This window comes from Homo sapiens, chromosome 2 (assembly GCF_000001405.40).
Source record: "Homo sapiens chromosome 2, GRCh38.p14 Primary Assembly".
Taxonomy (NCBI): Eukaryota; Metazoa; Chordata; class Mammalia; order Primates; family Hominidae; genus Homo; species Homo sapiens.
The window spans coordinates 45,829,485-45,851,577 of record NC_000002.12 but is presented as its reverse complement, the minus strand read 5'-3'; the positions used below and the strand labels follow the sequence as shown (position 1 = coordinate 45,851,577).

Sequence of the window (22,093 nt, the reverse complement as noted above, 5' to 3'; positions counted from 1 at the left end):
ATAAGCTTGACAAGAAATGTCTCATCCTTTCCAAATTTTCCCTTTCCTTTCCCCAGAGACAGCCACTGTTCTCAATCTGCTGTGTATCCTTGCATAGACAACCTGCAAACACACACACATACCCCTCCCAAACACACACAAGCATATCCACTTGAATGTAAGCCCCATGAGGGCAGGAATTTCTGTTTCTATTATTCACTTCTGTGCCCCCAGTTCTGAGAAGAGTAACTAGCATACAGAAAGTGCCTAACAGCCATAGGTTGAATGAGTCAATGTATACATCACATGTCTTCCTGAAAAGTTCAAATTGTGGTCAATCAAATACTAGTCCCTCTTTATTTTATCTCCTGTTCAAATGAATCTTCAGTGGGCCGTGGCACTATTTCCTCAACCAAGGAAAGAGGATAACTGTTGGTACCTGCATTTCAGGGTTGCCATGTGGATCAGTGATCACGTGGAAGTGTTTGTGGCTGTCATTTACTGACTGCCTACTCACAGCAGAGCCTGCAAACAGAAGGGAGGCTCCTTGGTGGTCCCACAGCACCCTGCCCTACCAGTAGCTACCCAACAGCTAAAGCACACGATGATGCTTACTGGTCTATTGCTTGCCTCCTTCTAGCAGAGCATGAGCTTCCTGACAGCAGGCACTGTGTTCATTAGCTCTACATCCCCAGGGCCTCGTATATATTAGATAAGCAAATAAATGATGCTTCCAACTGAAGAAATGGAGGATGAGGGGGAGACAGAATAGGTGATTCAGAGACACTCATTCTCACCTGTGTGCACTTGGGCACATGTACACCCCTACACTGGCCCCTATGAGCTCACACCAAAGGTTTAAATAAAGGAGGAAGATAAAAGCCCCAGTGTCAACAGCTCGATTAAAAATGGTGAATGCACTTGCTTGTGAAAACATGCATGTTTCAACAAAGCTAGGTAATAAGGAAAATCAATAAAACTGTTAGCACTGGCCATTTTCAACTGGATAAAAGAATAAAGTAATAGGTCCTGAAAGACAGACAACTCTAAATTAGGTTAAATGAATGGAAATACCCTTTCTTTTAAGCCAAATCATGAAGACATCAACAACAATAAATGATTAAATTAGAACCCATTTTGGGCCAGTATGATCTCAGCTGCAAACAGGAATTTCCAGAAACAATCTTCTTTATAGGACACAGAAATGATACACAGCAAGACAACGGAGATAGAACTAGAGGTCATGTGGGACCCACTTCTTGACCAAGGATCTATTAGAAATCCACCTTTCCAATAAGCTTATTTCTTCACTGTAACTATTCTTCCTTCAATTATTTTATTGGTAAGACAGGCACACCAGTCAAAAGGAAATATATATCTACGCTCCTGTAATGGCAGAGGGGAAGGAGGCTCTAGTTGTGATCAAAAGAGCTCTGCTCTCCAAACACTCAAGATTCAGTTCTGTTTCTCATCTGCTAATGGTTGGCATTTGGCGTTGTTAACCATGGGTGATTCATTTCAGAGGCACTGCTGTGCATCTAGAGGCTATTTGGAAGGAAATGAGGGTTTCTTGGCTTATGTCTCATCAAGCATCTTAGCGATGTCTCTTTGTGACATTATAAACTCCTTGATGGGGGCTTGGTGCTCACTGTTTTCCAGCTGATCCCCTTGGTCTCATCTGGTGCATATAGTCACTTCTGGGAACAAGAATTTATTCCATCAGGACCAAAAATAGAGCCAAAAATCCCAAGACACAGAGGCTTGCTCCCTGGGTCTGAGAATCAGCCACAGGAAGAAGTTATGCCGGGGTGGGGTGTGGTAACGTGGGGTGCATATTGTAAGATCAATGTTGTTGAACATCTGGATTTTGTTATTTTGTTGTTTTCTGGGCTCCGTGCACTGCCAGGGGATTTGACATGTCCATGCATGTCTAGGGAGTCTGTGTGGTGAACAGGATCAGGATCTTATTGCGTAAGGCACAACATGTGAGGGAGCCTGATCAGCACCTTGGAGCTGGTGTCTGGCTTTGAGGTCCCCTGTTTGGGAAGCTGGAGGCTCTCCTTAACCTCTCAAGTGACATTTCTTATTAAAGACTGAAGAGAATTTGAAAAGAGAAAGCGTGGGAGTATCTGGGCTTGATTTTGGGGCACTTTTGAAAGGATGGAGAGGAAGAGAATGCTGAGGATGGCAGAAGGATTGCTATGGGACTCTATGAGGTTGCTAAGCGAGAAAAGAGACCACAAAGACCACGATGGGATGCCTGTACCTGGGCTTGATCTTCTAAATGCCTCAGTGTCATAGTTGTAAAATGTGCTCTGCCCAGTGTCCCAGACTTGACCAAACTTGACCTAGAACACTCCTTCCCATTGTAGGTCATGGTGAGAGAAAGACTTGACCCAGAAGTCACACCCAGAAGGAACTGCCTTCAATCTTCAGACAGTTTAAACATTTAAGGCATTTCATTTTCTTGCTTGCATAGCATGAAAATTTCTGCCTGCAATACTGACGACTGCCTTTGTTTGGATGCTCCTAGAGAGCTCACACTGCATCTATTTAACTTATCCTGTCTATCCAGCCATCCCCGAAAATAAGAGCTTCAAAGCTGTCTTTGATAATGATGACATGATTCCCTCCACTCACAATGGTCTCTCCACTTCTTCCCTGCCAATCCAGCCTGCCTATCCTTTCCTTTCCAACCCAAGCCTTGCCTCTTTCTTGAAGTTTTCCTGGGTTATTCTGGTCCCGACTTATTCCTACTTGGAGAACTCTTGGTAACACCTAATCAAACACACAATGCTTTGCATTGTTCTCTAATGCTTTCATCCTGCAAGTCTAGGGTGCCTAATTGAATTGCAAGCTCCTTGAAGGCAAAGGGGTTTTACACTTCTTGTGAATGCCATCTCCCATTTTCTACTTCCTTCTCCACTCTCCATTCCCCAAACCCAGCACAGACACAAAGCTGGGCACATTTGTTGAAATGCACTGGTAGCCTGGATGCAGTGACTCACACCTGTAATCCCAGCACTTTGGGAGGCCGAGGTGGGTGGGTCACATGAAGTCAGGAGTTCGAGACCAGCCTGGCCAACATGGCAAAACCCTGTCTCTACTAAAAATACAAAAATTAACCAGGCATGGTGGTGCATGCCTGTAGTCCCAGCTACTCAGGAGGCTGAGGCAGGATAATCACTTGAACCCAGGAGGCAAAGGTTGCAGTAAGCCGAGATCCTGCTGCCACACTCCAGCCTGGGCGACAGAGCAAGACTCCGTCTCAAAAAAAGAAAAAAAAAATGAATTGCTAACTATTGGTCATTTGAATGAATGGTTCTTTTTAATTTTCTACTAACTAGAAGACATTGGATTATTAACGTAGAATTTAGAAGAAAAGAGGTAAAATTCTTATGAATTGAAGCTCCAGTGGGGCTTGAATCTGAGAGAACCCGTCGATATGTATCCTGCCCACTGGCTAAGACAGAGTTTCAAGAGAAAAACCCCTTTCACTTTGATTTCAGCCCTGGAGGTACTGCTCTAATGCCTGCTATGGACTCAGAGTCTTCACATACAAAACTAACATCTCTAGCAAGGAGGGCAGGTCAGTAGGAAGAATTATTAACCTGCTGGGATTTGAGTCAGGTCTAGTTTCAGACCAAGACTTAGCCATGGATCCACATTACAGACAACCTGAGAAGGATCCAACCTTGAGCTCGGACCAAAAGAGCTTTTATTTCTAACACAGTGGAAAAGGGATCTGCTTATTTATGAAGGAGACTCTGGTCACCTTTGGATTCAAAGCTAAGAACTTTGGCTTTATATTTCTATAAAAAGCTTTCTGAAGAAGAGAACTAAAATAAAAAGATCGAACCAGGGGTGGAGTGGGGAATCACTGCCATGTGGCAAACTCATTACTGGGGCCATGAATGGAAGCAGGACCTGGATTGTGGCCTGGGGTCTGGACCCAGCAGGGTCTCATAATCAACCTTTTGGCCTGGAGCACATCATCTGACCTCTCAATTTCACCATCTCCCACATGGAGGTAATACTGCTGGGCACTTGGTAAAGCTAAGAGCTCTACACACATGTTATTATTTCAGAACCAAGCGAAGCTGGTTTGATCACGTCTGCCTGTGCAACTTGAAAAAAGTCCAGAAGAGGTTGCAAAGTTGAGTTAAGATTTCTAAAATATCCCTTCTGAAAGGTTAAGGGATTTGATTGATTCAGCCTGAAAAAAGAGATATTGAAAAACTGTCTTCAAATATTTAAAGGCCTTTTACCCAAGGGCTGGTGAGAGGATGGGGACCACATGCTATGGTCCACACTAAGCAGGGATGGGACAAGCCCAGGCTCTGACAAGGAGAAGCCTCTAGCATTAAGGGCCACGGAATGCAAATGAGTGGCTCAGGGATGCTAGAGAATGTCCTTCCAGGAATTACTTTACTTGGGAGAGGATAAGGAATAAATGGAGTGACAATAGGCAAAACTGAGGCAAGGCCTGAACTGTGCAGAAAGCAATCGCACAGTCCCTGCCAGATAGATTACTCTGTTAAGTCGCCTCTTTGGTACCTGGCTCTGTTCTTGGCCCTTGTGAACATGTCCCACCCCAGCGTCAGAAACCTGTCCTTGAACAGTTTCCCTGAATAGCCTGCCAGATGCTTCTTCAAGGGCACTGGGTAGAGCTATGCCAACCTCTCTGCCCTCAGGTCTCCAAGGCTTCATGATATTTACTGATCATCTCTTACATGCGAGGGCACTGTACCAAAGCACTGTTCTTATGACAATCCTGGCCTAGCACCTACCATAGGAACCATTATCCCTGTGTTGTGGGTGAGAAATCTGAGGCTCTAAGCTACTAAACACTAGAGCCAGGATTTCAATCCAGGTCTGAAGGACTCCTAAGGCTGTGCTCTTTCTCCTCTATCTGTTGAGTCCCACAGAGAAGACTGACCCCTTTCAGCCTGTGGCTGCAGAAAGAAACAGGGTGCCTCCTGTTCCCTGCTCTTCTGCTTCCACAATATGCAATCCCTCCAGAACTTGACTTATCTGCATCATTTGTGAGGTACGTGTTGCAAAAATCATTCCTATTCCTTTGTATCCTCTGTATTTTGTTGGAGAAACAGTTTGGTGATCCAAACATACCAATGGGCCTACTTGTTATTGCTGTTGTTGGTTTAGATGCTGAAGAACTCTCCCAGGTGAGCATGACACCTAGGTGCAAGGCATGGGAAGAAGAACCTATCAGTCCCCAGGTCAGGCGCCGACCGTCTCTCATCGGTAAGCCTGTGAATCATGGGGCATTGCCACATTATTAGAAAGAATAAGAAATAATATGCAAATTACATCATATGAAGGGAAGAAATACTAACAAATGGGCACAGCAGGAAACCATCATTTGCACAGGTGAGAATTACATTGCTGTTTATGCCTCTGTTACCTGGGCTAATTGTGCTTTGATTTAAGCATCTGGAGAGCCTGGAGAGCCACCCTTACCAGAACCCCCTGTGATTATTACTTACGATGCAAGTAAAACATGGACTGAGACTGGAGCTTCCCATAAGAGCATTTTGAGCAGGTTTGCTACTTGGTATAATGTAGGTAAAGTGCCTAGCACCATACCTAGCACCAAACGAGTCCATTTCTTGCAACTCCTTTTTTCTGTACATATTAGCCAGCCCTCAGCCACGAGCTCTGACAGATGTCTATTCAAATTGTACCAAAGGATAAAATCACATGGCCGGAAATGACCTTAACTGTCATCTAGCCTGACCCCCTTACATCTGGGGTTAGGATGGCTGGTTTAGCCAAAACACACACTGGCCAGATTCCACTATAGTGAACTGCACAGGACATGCAAGCAGTGGAATTTTATTAGACAGTTAGAAATCACATTAGCTCCAGCTCCAGCAGACGTAAACGCCCAGGCTTTCTAACAGCATATGAGCAAGAAAAAGAATCCTTCGGCGCATCCTAGAAGAAGGGGGTGTAGTCACACCATCTCACCCCCACACCTCTCTCTGAGCTCCTTGGAATTTGCATGTGTTGTAAACTTTGTGCAATTCCCATGAATGTATTTTTTTCCATTGATGGGGCTGCAGCATTTGAGAGATGGGAGCTGAAGGGATGCTTGATGGCAGAATAATGGAGTGGTGAAACTTCAGCTGTGCCTCATTTCAACTCTCTCCCTTTCACAGAATGCAGAGTTAGGTATTTTCACTAAAAAAAAAAAAAAAAATACTTAGTCCACAGTCTGTAAATCCAGGAGGGTGGTTGTGACAACTTGCTTCACCCCAGACCCATCTCACGTGGTTTAGGTATGAAATGTTGTGGTTTCTCATTCTCTAGGGCCTCCCCTTGCCCTCTCAACTCTTCCAAAACCCCCTCCAGGCTAGGAACCCTCACAGTCCCAGCAACAGGACTGGGAGAACAGATGTGTATAACACAAACAACAAGAGCAGCTTCTCAGAACGGATTATTGAAAGTCCTACCCACCATCGAAAGAAAGGATCCCAAGTCCAAGAACAGCAATTTAAAAAAAAAAAAAAAAAAGTAGAAAAATGTCTTCTTTTCTTCAGAGCAACACATGCTAGCACTTTTCAGACTCTGGCATGTGTCAGCATTTCTAAAGTAAACTCTATTTTCTTTAGATGAAAGAGATTTAAAAAATAGACTCAGAATTTAGCCCAGTGAAAATTGCTTTGGCTATTCACATGCAATAAGCTGTAGAAGCAAGCAGAAAAAAATCAATTGCTTCTGATTTATTTATTCATTCATTTGTCCATCTCCTTTCCCTCTAATGTAAAAAAGGATGTCTTCTATAATTTTGCAAGTCATTTATCTTTTCAAAGAAAGAGAAAATAGTCCCAGCCTCCCATTGGTTGCTCAGCATCTTGGCACAGGAAATACATATTTAATTAATTATCATATTGCACACAGATTATGTAAGGAAAAAAGGGGATTGATTTTGCCCATCAAATGTTTCGCCAGTGTCTAGAATCAGGAGGCCACACTGCAAAACCTTAAGTCAAGTCTGGTGAATTTGGATCACTTTCTATGTTAAAAGCAAGGACAAGGCTTCACCTCACTGCTTGCTCTAATTCTTAATTGGGGCGGTGGGCACACTGGTGCTCATTTAATTTGTCTTTATGCCCTTTTGTAGGTCTTAAATATTTCATGTGAAATATTGTTAAATCCTCAAATCTTCTACAACAGGTTCTATTCTGGGCAGTTCAGAGCTGAGAGCAGAGAAGGGAAGTTGGAAATGCCAAAATGTAATTGCAATAAAGAGCAGGAAATGTAAGCAACCAATTTTGGAAGGCTGTTTAAAGTTTTAAACCTATGCCAAATAATTGGGATCTATTAAAAGAGGGCCTAATTCTATTATAATCCCCATATACACACAATTATTGAATTCTTCCGAATACCTGTTGAGATTGGGTGATAAATTAGCTGAATGGAAATCATCAGGCACCACTGTCAAGCACATCATTTGACTAACTGAATATGTAATCCTTCCTTCTATCACTGAGCCTTAAACTAGAGACTGTGTGTGGGATTGTGACTTTGAGCTTGTGATCCCCAGTATTCTGGGGAGATGTTGTGAAAGGCCCAAGTGTTCCAGGCAGGAGAGCTGAGAGAGCTGAGTGTCCATTTTTCCTTTTGGGACACAGTCCCCAAACACTGTTTGTTTCTCACTGCCAAGAGGAACTACACATGGTCTTCCAATATCCCTGCCATGGCATTAAAGCCAACTGTTCTGTCCCCCTGCCCACAGATGGAGGAGTAGGAGAGAAAAGAAGGCCACAATAACTACATTTCAGTCCGAATTCCAAATCTTTCTTAGAGCTTAAGTTGGTTGTTATCTCCTTGTTCCTGTTTGGATAAGGTTTTATTTTCTAGGCTTCCCTTCTTCCCTTGACTGCTCAGTCCTCAACACCCAGCAAACCCTTCAAAGGTCTTAAGTGTAGTTAAGTGAGCAAAGAAAGGATTGAAAGAAGAGGGTGTAAGAGGAAGAGGGTGTAATACGCCATCTAATCAGTCAGTGGGGAGCAGATGTTCCCTCACCCCATTATTTCTCTTTAAGAGCAGAGCTTTTGTCTGTGTAAAGAACTGGTAAAAGAAGTCCCACTTCTATCAAAGCTCTAAAGAAGATTCTGAAGTTTGTCACCTTATTCGTTTCATTTCTGGATGCCGTTAGACCAACTGGTTTTACTTCCTTCCCACCACACACACACAAACCCCACGCAAGCCTCCTGGGAGAGGCTGCCCTGCCACTGAAGCCTGCCTTGCACACAGCGTGCAAAAACGCCCGTTTTATTGGCCTCACTTGGTAAGTCCAAAATCTTCCCTCTGCTCCACCAAAGTTAACAGATGGCTGGTCCCTTTTGGTACACAGGCGTAAGCATCTTCAAAATAACCTTTTCCTTTAAAGGATGCCAATTAATTAAATGTCACTATAATGTGTTCCGGCCAAGGGGGGGAAAGAAGAGACCCAGAAGGCAAAGGGCCAATGGAAGAAAACAGGGATGAGAAGTCACGCTCTCCTACCTTCACCCGACGACCCTGAGAGATCGATGATCACATACACTCTTCCTTCTGGCTCCAGATCAATCTGCAATTAAGAAAATGACAGTGACTCTGTTAGTGCATTGTGTGGGCAACCTAAGAGTTCCACAACATTTCTACCCCAAACTGCTAAAACCTAGAGACACAGCTCCATGTAATTCACCAACCTACAATGTGTTGAGTGCTAGGTGAGATGCAGACCTGGGAGGACTGATGCATACCCCATAGGTAGCACCATCCCAGTGGTTCTCAACTGGGGGCAATTTTGCTACACAGGGGATGCTTGGCAAACATCTGGAGGCAGTTTTGCCATGATTGGAGAGAGAGAGAGTGCTGCTTCTGGCAGCTAGTGGGTGGAGGCCAGAGATACCATTAAACATTCTACAGTGCACAGGATGACCCCTCGCAACAAAGAATCATTCAGCCCCAAATGTCATCAATGATGTTGAGGTTGAGAAAGCCCTATGTTATCCCATTTTACAGATATGGAAATTGTGCCCAAATTCCAAGGTAAGTGGTAATGCTGAGATTCAATGCCAAGCCTGTCTTGAGAAACCCATGTTCTTTATACCACAGAAACTGCTCCCAGGGGAAATAAGAGAAGCAGGAAGACACTACTCCTGCTTTTATGGCGTTTATCATCTCATTGTGGAGTTAAAAAATGGGGAACAATGCTGAATCCAGCTTAATGATGAAGGACAGAGAAGAACTGATAAAGTATCTGACGAACCTGAAATCAGTGTAGAAGACGGAAGGGAAGAGGGAAGGGAAGGTATGCAAGGCGTAAGAAACAGCACAGGCACCCTCACTTCCTCCCTCCCCACCTCAAATCCAGCTAACTACTTATAATATACAGAGACAAGGTGGTGAAATAATTGGGTGAGACAAAAGCCAGAGGGCTGGGCCTCTTGTAGTTAAAGACATCTTTGCAAGGACTGAACTATCCTTACAGAAACTGTGTTCTCTCTATAAGAGAGTAGTAACTCTGGAAACCCTGGATCACCAAGTCCCCCTGCTAGCCTCTCCGCCTCCACAATCCCATCTGTCTACACAGAGCTTTCATTGGTTCATAGTGCCAGGCTCTCTCCCCAACAAGCTGTGAATATCTTGAGGGCAGGAACCACTATCCCCCTCCTTTTCCTTTTTCACTGTCCCCAGCAAAGAGCAGGCAAGCATTTAGCAAGAATTACTTCAGAACAGTCAGTCTAGTGGATATCTCCTCCTCCTTCAAAGTCAAGGTCAATTATCACCTCCTCTCTGAAATCTATCCAGATATGCCCAGTCAGAATTAATTAGCCCCTCATCTGTGTTCCCACAATACACCAGACACATCTTACTCATGGCTCCTGCGATGGTTAATATTGAGTGTCAACTTGATTGGACTGAAGGATGCAAAGCATTGTTACTGGGTGTGTCTGTGAGGGTGCTGCCAAAGGAGATTAATATTTGAGCCAGTGGACTGGGAGAGGCAGATCCATTCTCAATCTGGGTGGGCACCATCTAATCAGCTGCCAGCGTGGCTAGAATAAAGCAGGCAGAAGAAGTTTGAAAGACTAGGCTTGCTGAGTTTTCCAGCCTTCATCTTTCTCTTGTGCTGGATGCTTTTTGCCCTCAAACATCAGACCCCAAGTTTTTCAGCTTTTGGACTCTTGGACTTACACCAGTGGTTTGCCAGGGGCTCTTGGGCCTTCAGCCACATACTGAAGGCTGCCCTGTCGGCTTTCCTACTTTTCAGGTTTTCGGACACGGACTGGCTTCCTTGCTCCTCAGCGTGCAGACGGCCTATTGTGGGACTTCACCTTGTGATCGTGTGAGTCAATTCTCCTAATAAACTCCCCTTCATATATACATATATCCTATTGATTCTGTCCCTCTAGAGAACACTGACTAATACAGCTCCTATTAAGTTGTAATACATTGTCCATCTACCTCTCTGTCCTGATAGACAGAAAGTATGATAACCAGATTTGCATCCCTAGTTCGTAGCTCACTGTCTCTTAGGAAACACCCAGCACACACTCGTGGAGGTGGGAAAAGGCTCTGTGTTCAGAACTTCCAGAGTCTATTCTGGGAACATTCACCCTCCCAAGGCTCTGTCCCCAGGAAGGAAGGCAGGCATGTCATCTCTACTAAAATGACATTTGAAAAAGGGTAGAGGAAAGATGAGGCAGCTATACCATGAGCACCACATGTCCCCATGAGACAAAGCGACCAGCTGGAATGGTGTTCTCCAAACTCTCCCAACGTCTCACCCCACACACAATCCAGGAGGCTCCCAGAGTCACTCCTGACCCCATCTTGTTGCCTGACTCAGCCTCTAATGGTTGAGAGAGCTTAAGGTTTCCCTCAAAATTTCATTTTCACCCACAAGACTCTTCAGTGCCTCGTGGGAGAGGCCCCTGGTGATAGCTGAGGTGCTCCGTCGGCACAGGAGTGAGGGAGTGCCACGAGCAGGCCTGCATTGCCCCCTGGGCACCCCGGGGGAGCTGCTCACCTGAGTTTGGGATCTTCGGTTTTAAATCCAGATGGGAACCAAATAACAAACTGGTAATTCCGCATGCTGCCTTTTCTCATTCCTTTCTCCCCAAGAGTCCATGATTTTAAGTTTCTGGGTAAAGAAAATGTTCTCCAGAATTCTCACCACTAGTGCTGACCCTCACCAGCCCCTGCAGCGAATGACAAACAGGAAAACCAACAGTCGGCTCTGCTGAATAGAGCCAAACCAGAATCTTCTCCCTGACAAAAGTCAAAAATATCAGGGGCCCTCTTGCCTAAAAGCATGGAATTTAAATAATGTATGCCTTTTAGAGATTAGATCATCCCTATTAAACCCTGCCGGCAAAATGAAACTCTTTCTCATATCCTCCAACTCAAAGATTTCCCACGACTGTGGACTTTATTGGCAAAGTACAATGCTATCTGTGTAAAGCAGGGAGGGAGAGAGCAAAGGAATGAGATGGGCTTCGGGGCCTATCCAAAGGCAGGCACCATGCCCATCTTTGCAAAAGGGGAGTGAGAACTCGTGGCAGGGAGGACAGGTCATTTATGATAAAATGTATTCGGATATTAACATTCAAGATAGCAATCAGAAAGCATTTTAGCACCCACTGCAGCCTCCGTGCTGGTGAACTGCATTTCCAAACAGAAAAATAGAAATTAAGCTATTAAACATGCCAAAAGCAACAAAGAGCTTTGCAGCATGAGCAGATGGCCGCAGATCGCCAGCCAAGCCCCAGCTAGCCAAGCGAGGAAGCTCTGAGAATCCATCCAAGGTGGTGGGTCTTCAACGACTGGAGGGGTCACCAAGTATAAAAGATGGTGAAGAGTGTGGCACAACTTCACCGCTGAATTAGTTTAATCATAAATTCTGCTCACGATTACATGGTCCAGATAATGATGCAATGTAAGTGCCCAGCCCTGCACAACCCTGCAAGCTGTCAGTCTGCATTGGCACCAGGCAGCTGGCGTGACACAAAAGCAGACTCGCTACCTCCTCCCAGCCATTCCCAGGGTTAGTTCTGAGCCTCTTCTTTGCACCAGGCTCCTCCCAGTTCTCCCAGATGCAACCTAATTTATCAAACCTCCTTGGACCTCATATCCCAACTTAACACATCTTCCCAGCTACTATTTCTATTTTCTTTGACTATGATTCTCTTTCACACTACGGTGCCTTGGCTACCCCTCCAGCACGGGCCAGAAGCAAGGCAGTCAAACTGGGGGAGACAAACACAGACTTTGGTGTCAAATCAGGGCAGAATCCATTTTGTCCTTTATCAGCTGAGTGACCTCAGGCAATTATTTACTCTTCCTGAGCCTCTCAGCCTCTTCATCCGTGAAATGGGTTGTCATGAAAATTCCATGAAACATACATGCAAAGCACTTGGCACCTTACCTTAGTTAAAAAAAAAAATTTTTTTTTTAACTAAGCACCCAGGAGACACTCTGCACGTGGTGGGTAAGAGCAAACTTAGCGGCCTTGTGGCCTGAAGCAAGCAGCTACCCTCTGTATGCCTCAGCCTGCTTGTCAGTGAAATGGGGCTGCTGTGAGATTAAATGAGATAATCTATGCACAGTGCTTAGCAAAGGCACCGGCATAAAATAGTCATCATTGGTGCAGTTATCATGAAAAAGGCAAGTCTTCTGCTTCTTAGTCCAATGTTATTTCTACTATAACAAACTTTCCTCAACAAAGTTGGTATTGTTACATGTAATTCCAGGACATTTGATGACTTTACAGTGTTGTTGTGAATATCAAATAAAGAGCTAAAGGTCAGGTGTGGTGGCAGGCAGCTGTAGTCCCAGCTACTTGGGAGGCAGAGGCAGGAGGATTGCTTGAGCCCAGGAGATCCAGGCTGCAATGCGCCACTGCACTGCAGTCTGGGTGACAAGTGAGATCCTGTCTCTGAAAACATTTTTTTTTAACTAAGGTAAGAGTATTGTACTTTAAAATCCAAGGTAAGAGTATTGTATGCACCCTTTCTGGGGGAAACCCGGGGCAGGAAGGGCTATACCCAGGGTATTCGGGGGCATCGGGAGGACGTGTGGTACTCATGAAAGAAGGGCAATGACACCTACTGTGCCTCTGACGCCATGTTGGCACCTTACCTGCATTAGTTCATCTAATCTCCTGTGAGACAGCAATATTCTCTACTTTTCTGATGAAAAAACAGGCTTAGAGAGCTTTCAGCCAGAATTCTCACCCAGGTCAGCCTGGGGCACAGAGGAGAGGTCAACAGAGCTTGCAAGTCATGCTCACAACCCCAGCCCTGCCTGGCCAACTGAGCCTCCTCTGACAATCCAGTCCGAGGTGCAGTCTCCTTCCTTCAACCCTCCCGTCCCCAGAGTGGGCTCATTCCCCTTTTCAGGTGTCACTGGCTTCCCCAGGCAGACCTGGAAGGCACAGCAATACCTCAGACACCTTGACCACCCCATGGTGCTCTGAGGGGAGGTCTGGGCAGCAATGAGAGTGCCTCTCATGTGAATTAGGAACTTGGCAATGGGGAAGAGCCCAACCCACATCAAGCCCTAAAAAGGCAATCTTAGAAAAGCCAAAAGTTAGGGACTTTTTTGGGGTGGTGCTCAGCCGTTTACAAAGCCCCTCATACGCATTCATTTATTCATTTCTCACAATTAATCTGTAAGGTAGCGAGTTTTGTTATTTTCAAAAAAAATTTTTGAGACAGAGTCTCGCTCTGTGCCCCAGGCTGGAGTGAAGTGGTGCCGTCATGGCTGCAGCCTGAAACTCCTGGGCCCAAACCTTCCTCCCACCTCAGCCTCACAGAGTGCTGGGATTACAGGCGTGGTAACAGTATTATTAGTGCTGTTGAGAATCTGAGAAAGCTGGGGTTAAGGAAGATAGGTGGCCATTATATCATGCAGTGTGCTAGTGAGATCACACCAGCTGCACAACCCCAGGAGGTGCCATTCACACCTATGTCTGTGCATGAGACCCCTGGAGCCGGACTGGCAGAATCAGAACGTGCTCCCTAGACTGGGCGTGGTGGCTCATGCCTATAATCCCAGCACTTTAGTAGACTGAGGCAGGTGGACCACTTGAGGTGAGGAGTTTGACACCACCCTGGCCAGTATGGTGAAACTCCGTCTCTACTAAAAATATAAAAATTAGCTGGGTGTGGAGGCATGCACCTGTAGTCCCAGCTATTCTGGAGACTGAGGCAGGAGAATCGCTTGAACCTGGGAGGCGGAGGCTGCAGTGAGGCAAGATCGCACCACTGCACTCCAGCCTAGGCAACAGAGCAAGACTCCGTCTTAAAAAAATAAAAGAACTTGCTCCCTCAACTCCTGTTTCTCAGTCTCATGTTTCTTCCTCGACACCACACCTGCCCAGCAGGAGTTCTGACAACCACAACAGCAAAATCAAGAGGACTCCACCTATGCTGATCTCCAGGCTGCTGGCTGATGTGCTGCTGTCAGCCCCCCGTGATCCACAGGTTATCTGTACACCTACATGTTGGGGGTTATTGGCTTCAAGGGAAGGGAGGTCTAATATACAAAGTCAAGCTTCCTAACCATAGGTTCAACTTTTGCCTGAGATGTCTAAGCAAACCTTTCCTTGGGACAGCCCACAAAGGTCACACAGGCCCAATTCGAGTTTCACTTCCCTTCCCATCTGCTGTCAGGCACAAAGGCGTGGAGAGAGGCAAAAGGGCAACAGGGACAGGGTCTGAAAAAGATGAATCCAGAAAGGATGAGAAGGACAAGGGAAGGCTTGCACTGCCCTTGTTCCACCAGTAAGGTCCTAGATAATCTACTGCTGTGTCTTTTTCTTTTTTACTTGGAGGAGGGTGGAGAGTGAGAAAGGAGGAGGCAGACGGGGAACCATCAGGACAGAAGACTGGGGGACTGGTTCCCAAAGCAGGGGGCCCACTGCCCAAGTCCTGTACCCCTTCACTGATGCCCCCTCTCCCCTGGAGGCACCGCAGGCACACTACCATCCCCAGACCCACCTGGCATGGGAGAGGCCAGCTGGACAGAGCAGGGGACATTCAGGCAGCAGGTGTCCTCCCAGCTCTGCATTTGGAAAGCAGAAAGCATTGAGGCAATACAATGAGCAACTCAGCAGCAGCTGCGGGGTGCTGATTTTGAAGTTAGCAGCTAATTAAAGACTCTTCATTTGGGGTAAAATTTGCTACTTGCTCTATTGGTAGTGTGCAGTGACTGGTCAAAAAGCAGAGAGTACACATGTAATCAAATATGTTCAAGATTCTATTCTGTTAATGGGCTTATAATAGCACTTACTTTCATAAAATAAGGGGAGGGGCAGATCGTTTTTCTCAAACAGCTTCCACTGCAGTGCAAAGACATGCAGGCTTCAGTGTACATCCCTGCAAAGCAGGACCCTGTCTGTCCCGCACATGGGAGGGATTCAATACAGATTTCTACATGTTGGCTTATTGAATGCATGGCCTTAGCTTATACTACTTCAATATATTAAAAAACTGGATCTGTACGCTGAGTTGTGGAGATGATTTACTGGGGAAGCCATCTACTATACAGAAATGTTCACAGCAGCTTCATTCCTAACAGCCCAAAACTGGAAATGTCCCAAATGTCCAACAACAGGTAAATGAATAAGCAAACCATGCTACATCCATGTAATGGAATGTTACTTAGCAATAAAAAAGAATGAGGACCGGGCACGGTGGCTCACCCCTGTAATCCCAACACTTTGGGAAGCTGAGGCAGGAGGATCGCTTCAAGCCAGGAGTTCAAGACCAGCCTGTACAACATACTGAGACCTTCTCTCTACAAAAAATAAGAAAAAAAAATAGCTGAGCATGGTGGTGCATGCCTACAGTCCCAGGTACTTGGGAGGCTGAGGCAGGAGAATGGCTTGAACCTGGGAGTTTGAGGCTGCAGTGAGCTATGATTTCACAACTGCACTCCAGCCTAGGTGAGATCCTGTCTCTTAAAAAAAAAAAAAAAAACAAATATACTACCGATACATGCAACAACATGGATGCTATGTGAAAGAAGCCAAACATTAAAGAGTATATACCATAGCATTCCACTTCTACGATGTTCTAGAACGGGCAAAACAAACCTACAATAACAAAAAAGCACATCTGTGATTCCCTGGAGCTGGAAGTGGCCAGTGAATGCCAGGAGACACAGGGGAACGTCCTGGGTGACGGGAGTTTTCTCTATCCTGATTGTGGTGGCTGCTCCATGAATGTAGACATTGGGTGGGACAAATCAAGCCTACACTTAAAATGAATGCACTTAATTGTATGTAAATTATACCTCAATGAAGCAGTTTTTAAAAATGGAAAAAAACGATTTATTTCGCATAAGGATTCCTCCACAAGTTTCCTTTAAATAACAAATCCTATTCCCACCCTCGGAGCATTTAAAATTTCATATTCCATTTTTAAAAATAAAAGGACTCATTCAGAGTTTTTCAACAGCACATCTGTGAAACAACATAATGTACACCTACCTGTGTAGGCGTGCACATTCACACACCCACCCACGTGTGCAAACACACTCACAGGCACACAGCTGAGCCACCTTCTCCTGTCTCCTGTGATCAAAATACAATAATAGCAAGATAAACACATCCAAAATGTAGGTTTGAGAGTCTGCTGAATTATTTAAATCTGTCTGTGTGTTTGTGGATCTGAACTTCCTCATATATAAAACAAGATAATTAGACCAAATGTTATAGAAAGCCTTTTAATGAACTTAATGACCTAAATGTCCATGAATAGGAGACTGCTTAAATAAATTATGGTACATCATATGGTAGATCACCATGCGAGTCCTAAAAAAGACTGAAAAAGATCTAAATGTACCAACTGATAGGGAACTAGCTCTGTGATACATTAAGTGGAGGGGGGATAAAGCAACACACCGTAAGTTCATGATGTTGTGTTGCTGTGTGAATACAATGGGGGAGCATGTGGGTGTACACACACACACACACACACACATACACACATGCGCACACGTGATCTGCACATACGTCCTTATCTCCAGAAGGAGTCTTAATCAGCAAAAGGCAAGAGCTGACTCAAGAGATGGACATGACAGGAGGAGCAAACCAGAAATCAGGAAAGGAGGCCTTATTCTTTATTCTACGCCCATTTACAAAATTGTGTTCTGAGCTAACTTGTTAAAAATTTAAGTTACTACCCATTTAAAAAAATAAAATGTCCCTTTTCACTGCACTGGCTGTTTATAATCTCCAATCCCCCAGACTACAGCTTGCTTCAGTTGCCAGACACACCTTAAATAAACACCCCTCAAAACTGGCTGAAACACTGCATTCTCATCACCCGTAGCCAGGTCACTGGGAACCAAGTTAGCAGCAGCCATTATCTTCTTGTGAAACTCTTGTTGGCTGGACCAGAGGCCCACGTTACAGATCTTAGCTCTCAACACACCACAAATGGAGTAGGCTCAAGTTAGCACCTACTTCCTCTTTTTTAGCAGGCTCAGAAATGGCCCCAGAGAGCTGGCTCCCTCTGATGACAGAGGTAGCTAAAAACGAATAACTCTATGTATACATAAATGCTTTCTTGAGCTGAGAAAACATCCAAAAGTGCCTAAACTAATGTGGAGAGTGTGTAAGGGTACAGAGCATCATCTGCTCACAGCACAGTCTGCCTGTCTACTTTGAGAGAAATGGCAGTACATGACTGTATATCCTAAGAAGAGGTAGGTGAGCACTAATAGCAGAAATGTAGCCACCTACCCAAGCATTCTGAAGCAGATAATCCACTGCCGATCTGCACTTTGCATTTCACATTTTGCATTTTGATTTGCAATGGTCCCTATCACTAGGTATATTTGAATGTGTGTGCTTTATCTTACATTTCCTATTTCTTACACTAAGTCAATATATCTCAGAGATTGAAAGTAAAGGTTTTGAAGCTAGCCTACCCGGGTTCCAATCCCAGTTCTGCCTGTTTAAAGCTCTGTGGTGCTTATTTTGATTTCCTCATCTTACAAGTTGAATGTCAGCAGGACCTGCTTCAGAGTGTTGGGAGGATTCGAGGAGATGGTGGAGCACTTGAAACTGTCTGGCACACAACTTCCTGTAAATATTAGCTGCCAGGTCATTATGATTGCTATTTCCCACCTAGACTGTGAGCACCTCTCCTGCTAAGCCATGTCTTTCTTTTGAGGATTCCACAGCTCTTGATTCAGGGCTGGGATTGAGATAGGTATTCAATAAAGACTCTAAGTGGAACTGAATGAATCCATGTGAAACAGAGGCAAGCTCGGTCAGGAACTCAGGAATTTGTAACCAGAAAAATTATCTTCATATCAGGAAATTTTCTGTCCCTGTAGTATCACAACCTAATAGAACTTTTATCAATGGCTGCTCACAAAAAATATTCAGTTATTTTTTCTTTCTTTTCTTTTCTTTTTTTTTTTTTTTGCCATGTTGCCCAGGCTGGTCTTGAACTCCTGCCCTCAAGAGATCCTTCCACCTCGGCCTCCCAAAGTGCTGGGATTACAGGCATGAGCCACCACACCGGGCTGATATTCAGTTCTTGACTCCCTTTGAAAGCCAAGACACGATCATTTGTTTCCATCTTTCTGAGTTCTTCAAAAGAGAGACTATGTTATGAATACTAATAATCACAACTCTCATAAGCACCCTTTATTGAATACTCTACATGTGTTACCTATGTGAAGAAGGCAATATTGTTGTTCTTAACCATTTGATGGGTGACAAAACTGAGGCTTAGGAATTTAAATAACTTGCGCGCATCCTCACAATTTGCAGAAGAGGAGTGTGCGTTAAAGCCGGGTTCTCCAAGTGGAGACCCAATGCTTCCAATAGGTACCTTGAGGCCTGGCAGGCTGCCCCACAGACAGCCTGAGCTCTGGGAGATCTGTAGAAAGAACACGTTGTGAGCTGTCATGGAGCCCATACTGCATGAATGATAAAAAGTTGCTCCTTGGCCGGGTGCGGTGGCTCACGCCTGTAATCCCAGCACTTTGGGAGGCTGAGGTGGGCGGATCACGAGGTCAGGAGTTCAAGACCAGCTTGGCCAATATGGCGAAACCCCATCTCTACTAAAAATACAAAAATTAGCTGGGCATGGTGGAGTGCACCTGTAGTCCCAGCTACTAGGGAGGCTGAGGCAGAAGAATCACTTGAACCCAAGAGCCGGAGGTTGCAGTGAGCCAAAATTGCCTCCCTGCACTCCAGCCTGGGCAACAGAGTGAGACTCTGTCTCAAAAAAAAAAAAAAAAAGTTGCTCCTTGGACACAAGAGCAATGAGAGTAATGCTCCTTCATTGTCCTCCTGGAGCTCATAGTTGTAAGGTACACTAAACCCACAGCAAAATAGCCGAGAGGCTCAGACAATGACATACAAATGTGACGCAGGATGCCCAACTTTGGGGAATAATTGCTCTCCGGGGAATATTCCTGCATCATAATACTCTGTATACCAGTCTTATTTGCCATTGCTTTTCATTGTTTAGTTGGAACCATGTCCTGTGAGAAAAAGAACAGTTTTATAAAAAACTATAAAAGCATGAAATTTAGGAGTCAGAAATGCCTTAAAAATCATTTAGTTTAAATATACATACAAAAATAAAATAAAGGATAAGATCTTTTTTCTTTTCTTTTGCTTATCAAATTAGTCAAAGTTTCATTTGGGTTATATATTTTTGTGTTATTTATTTATTAAAATATAGCCAAAAGTAAGTACTGTGATGTGTTCAGTTTTAAGAAACCAAAAGCTACATGTCTGCTTGTCATGAGAAGCAACAGTCCTCTGCCCCATAACTCCTCAGAGGGACCAATTTTAGTAATTTTTATATAGGTTTCTCTGGTGGTCACTGCTGCGTCCCTAAATAAAATGTGTATGCCTCAATTTCCTGATTTCTTATTTTAGACATTCTCTTACCTTGCTGCTATGATAGAAGAGGATTCAGTTTACTTACCACTTCCCTCCTCTTTTGCCCCTCCACAAAAGTTATACATCACAAATTCTGTTTATTCTCTGTTCTCTACAACTACAAAAAAACTCACACACCTAAAATGCCAATTTCTTATGCCATCAACTGTAGAGAATATATCCCTTGACCCTCCACATTGTACCCAGAGGACATTAGTGCTTCCAGCATTCCCCATCCTCTGCCTGCCACCCTCCATCCCAGCCACCTCTGAAATTTTTGTCTTTACTCTTAACCTATCAAGGTTGACAACACTGACATTCTGTTCTCTAACCATAGTTAATTTCCATGTTTTGTGTATACATTAGTTCTAAAATCTGAAAACTAATCGTCTTTCCTTATTATGACTTTGTAAATGGTGTTACATACACCTTCTTTCCCATGGGCCCAATGTAACAATTCACATGCCACTCAATGGCTAATATACCTAGCATCTAATTCAAATGGATTCTTCATCTTACAGTCTACCAATTGCCTTTCTCAGATCTTTGAGTCTTCCCAGCATTCTTTTCTCGGAGGGTGTACCTATCAGGACACCCCACTGTCCTATTCTCCCTGATCTGAGCTGACGCTCTCTGGTCTGCTGCACAACTGTAGCACTGCATATCTCCTCACTGTTCTGCTGGGTGCAGCCACTGTCTTGGAAATCCATTATCTTCCTTATTCTGAGTTATTCCCTTGTTTTTGCTAGGACAGTACATTCTGATTGAAATAGTAATCAGAAATCTTTCATGCCTGTTCTCACACATAATTGATAGTTTAGCTGGATATAGAATTCTAGGTTTTAAAAAGATCATAATCTATCAGAACTTTCTTCTAACATCAATATTGTCAATGGACTCTGATGTCAGCCAGATTACTGTTGTTTAATAGGTGACGTTGTTTTCACTTTGTGGAAGTTTTTGGGTCTTCTTTATCCTAGTATTCTAAAATGCCACAGTGATATGTCTCAGGGTGTCTTTTGGGATTCATTGTCCTAAATGAAACTGAATTTGTGGGAGATACTCTTCTATTTGTTCTTTGTCATGGGCCTCTTCTTCATTTTCTTTCTGAAACTCCTCTTATTCAGATGTTGGACCAGTAGGAATGATCCTTATGTCTCTTACTATGTGATACATATATATATCCATTTCTTTTATCTTTTTATTCCATAGTCTAGGAGATTTCCTTGACTTTATAATTCTTCCTCTGAAATTTTCTGACAATATCTTGAGTTTCCAGAAATGCCTTCCTATTTATTCATAATGCCTTTCTCATGTACAGGCAGTGCCTTCCTGTTTTCTCATTTCTCTCTCTCTCTCTCTCTCTCTCGTTTGTTTTTGTTTATGAATGCAGCATATTTCTAAGAATTGCAGCCCCATGTGCCATAGGGTTAGATGGTGGGATCTGGCCATTAGAGCATGGGTCCCTGAATGAGAAATTGGTTTCTTCTGGAGAGTAATACCCACAATGCTTTGCTAGTTCTCCCCAAACCATTATACTATTTCTTTTTCAAAGAGCCTTCCAATTTTTTTTTTTTTTTTTTTTTTTTTGAGACGGAGTCTCGCTCTGTCGCCCAGGCTGGAGTGCAGTGGCGCGATCTCGGCTCACTGCAAGCTCCGCCTCCCAGGTTCACGCCATTCTCCTGCCTCAGCCTCCCGAGTAGCTGGGACTACAGGCGCCCGCTACCACGCCCGGCTAATTTTTTGTATTTTTAGTAGAGACGGGGTTTCACCGTGTTAGCCAGGATGGTCTCGATCTCCTGACCTCGTGATCCGCCCGCCTCGGCCTCCCAAAGTGCTGGGATTACAGGCGTGAGCCACCGCGCCCGGCCGAGCCTTCCAATTTTTTATGTGAAAGTTAGGCCCTTCCATAGTGACAGTGGGGAGCATATGGTTCCACATACAGACTTTCCAAAGGTCACTTGTTTTTACCTGGGGTAAGTACAGTGTCCAAGCCTGGAGCCCTTTAGGGTCCTGCAGAGAAGCTGCTCTATGCTAGGTTCCTGTGCCCTCTGCACATGTTCTGGGCTCTAGCTCCAGAGTTCTCTATTCTGCTTCATTAGCTGCCACCCCACCTTCTACTTTCATCTCCCAGAAATTCTCTGAAATAGTTTGATGATGGCCTCTTTCTGCCCACTT

General features: G+C 44.5%; 1 protein-coding gene across 19 annotated transcripts in view, besides 5 other annotated features; it reads right to left on the bottom strand.

The window, feature by feature from the left end:
• The window catches only part of PRKCE (protein kinase C epsilon), a 536,712-nt gene that overhangs the window by 336,413 nt on the left and 178,206 nt on the right, over positions 1-22,093 (bottom strand). For 18 of the 19 annotated variants that reach the window (XR_007078551.1, XR_939695.3, XM_005264428.2 and 15 more), the window contains one exon: positions 8,515-8,578. Coding sequence is in view for 15 of the 19 variants with exons in the window: in XM_005264428.2 (XP_005264485.1) it covers positions 8,515-8,578 (64 nt within the window). In the remaining 4 variants the exon portion in view is untranslated. Of the gene's footprint in view, positions 1-8,514; positions 8,579-11,026; positions 11,199-22,093 lie in introns of all 19 variants that reach the window. The other variant, XM_011532980.4, reaches the window with a different exon arrangement.
• Positions 10,687-10,806: a silencer, noted in NCBI's record as "silent region_11443". NCBI's record gives its function as "represses an Ori minimal core promoter by ATAC-STARR-seq in GM12878 lymphoblastoid cells {active_cell/tissue: GM12878}" and the evidence as "EXISTENCE:reporter gene assay evidence [ECO:0000049][PMID:35858748]".
• Positions 14,372-14,441: an enhancer, noted in NCBI's record as "active region_15695". NCBI's record gives its function as "activates an Ori minimal core promoter by ATAC-STARR-seq in GM12878 lymphoblastoid cells {active_cell/tissue: GM12878}" and the evidence as "EXISTENCE:reporter gene assay evidence [ECO:0000049][PMID:35858748]".
• Positions 14,983-15,508: an enhancer, noted in NCBI's record as "OCT4-NANOG-H3K4me1 hESC enhancer chr2:46063209-46063734 (GRCh37/hg19 assembly coordinates)". NCBI's record gives its function as "activates a minimal SCP1, AML or CMV promoter by ChIP-STARR-seq in naive and primed H9 embryonic stem cells {active_cell/tissue: H9 hESC(naive and primed)}" and the evidence as "EXISTENCE:reporter gene assay evidence [ECO:0000049][PMID:30033119]".
• Positions 17,378-17,487: an enhancer, noted in NCBI's record as "active region_15694". NCBI's record gives its function as "activates an Ori minimal core promoter by ATAC-STARR-seq in GM12878 lymphoblastoid cells {active_cell/tissue: GM12878}" and the evidence as "EXISTENCE:reporter gene assay evidence [ECO:0000049][PMID:35858748]".
• Positions 17,538-17,687: an enhancer, noted in NCBI's record as "active region_15693". NCBI's record gives its function as "activates an Ori minimal core promoter by ATAC-STARR-seq in GM12878 lymphoblastoid cells {active_cell/tissue: GM12878}" and the evidence as "EXISTENCE:reporter gene assay evidence [ECO:0000049][PMID:35858748]".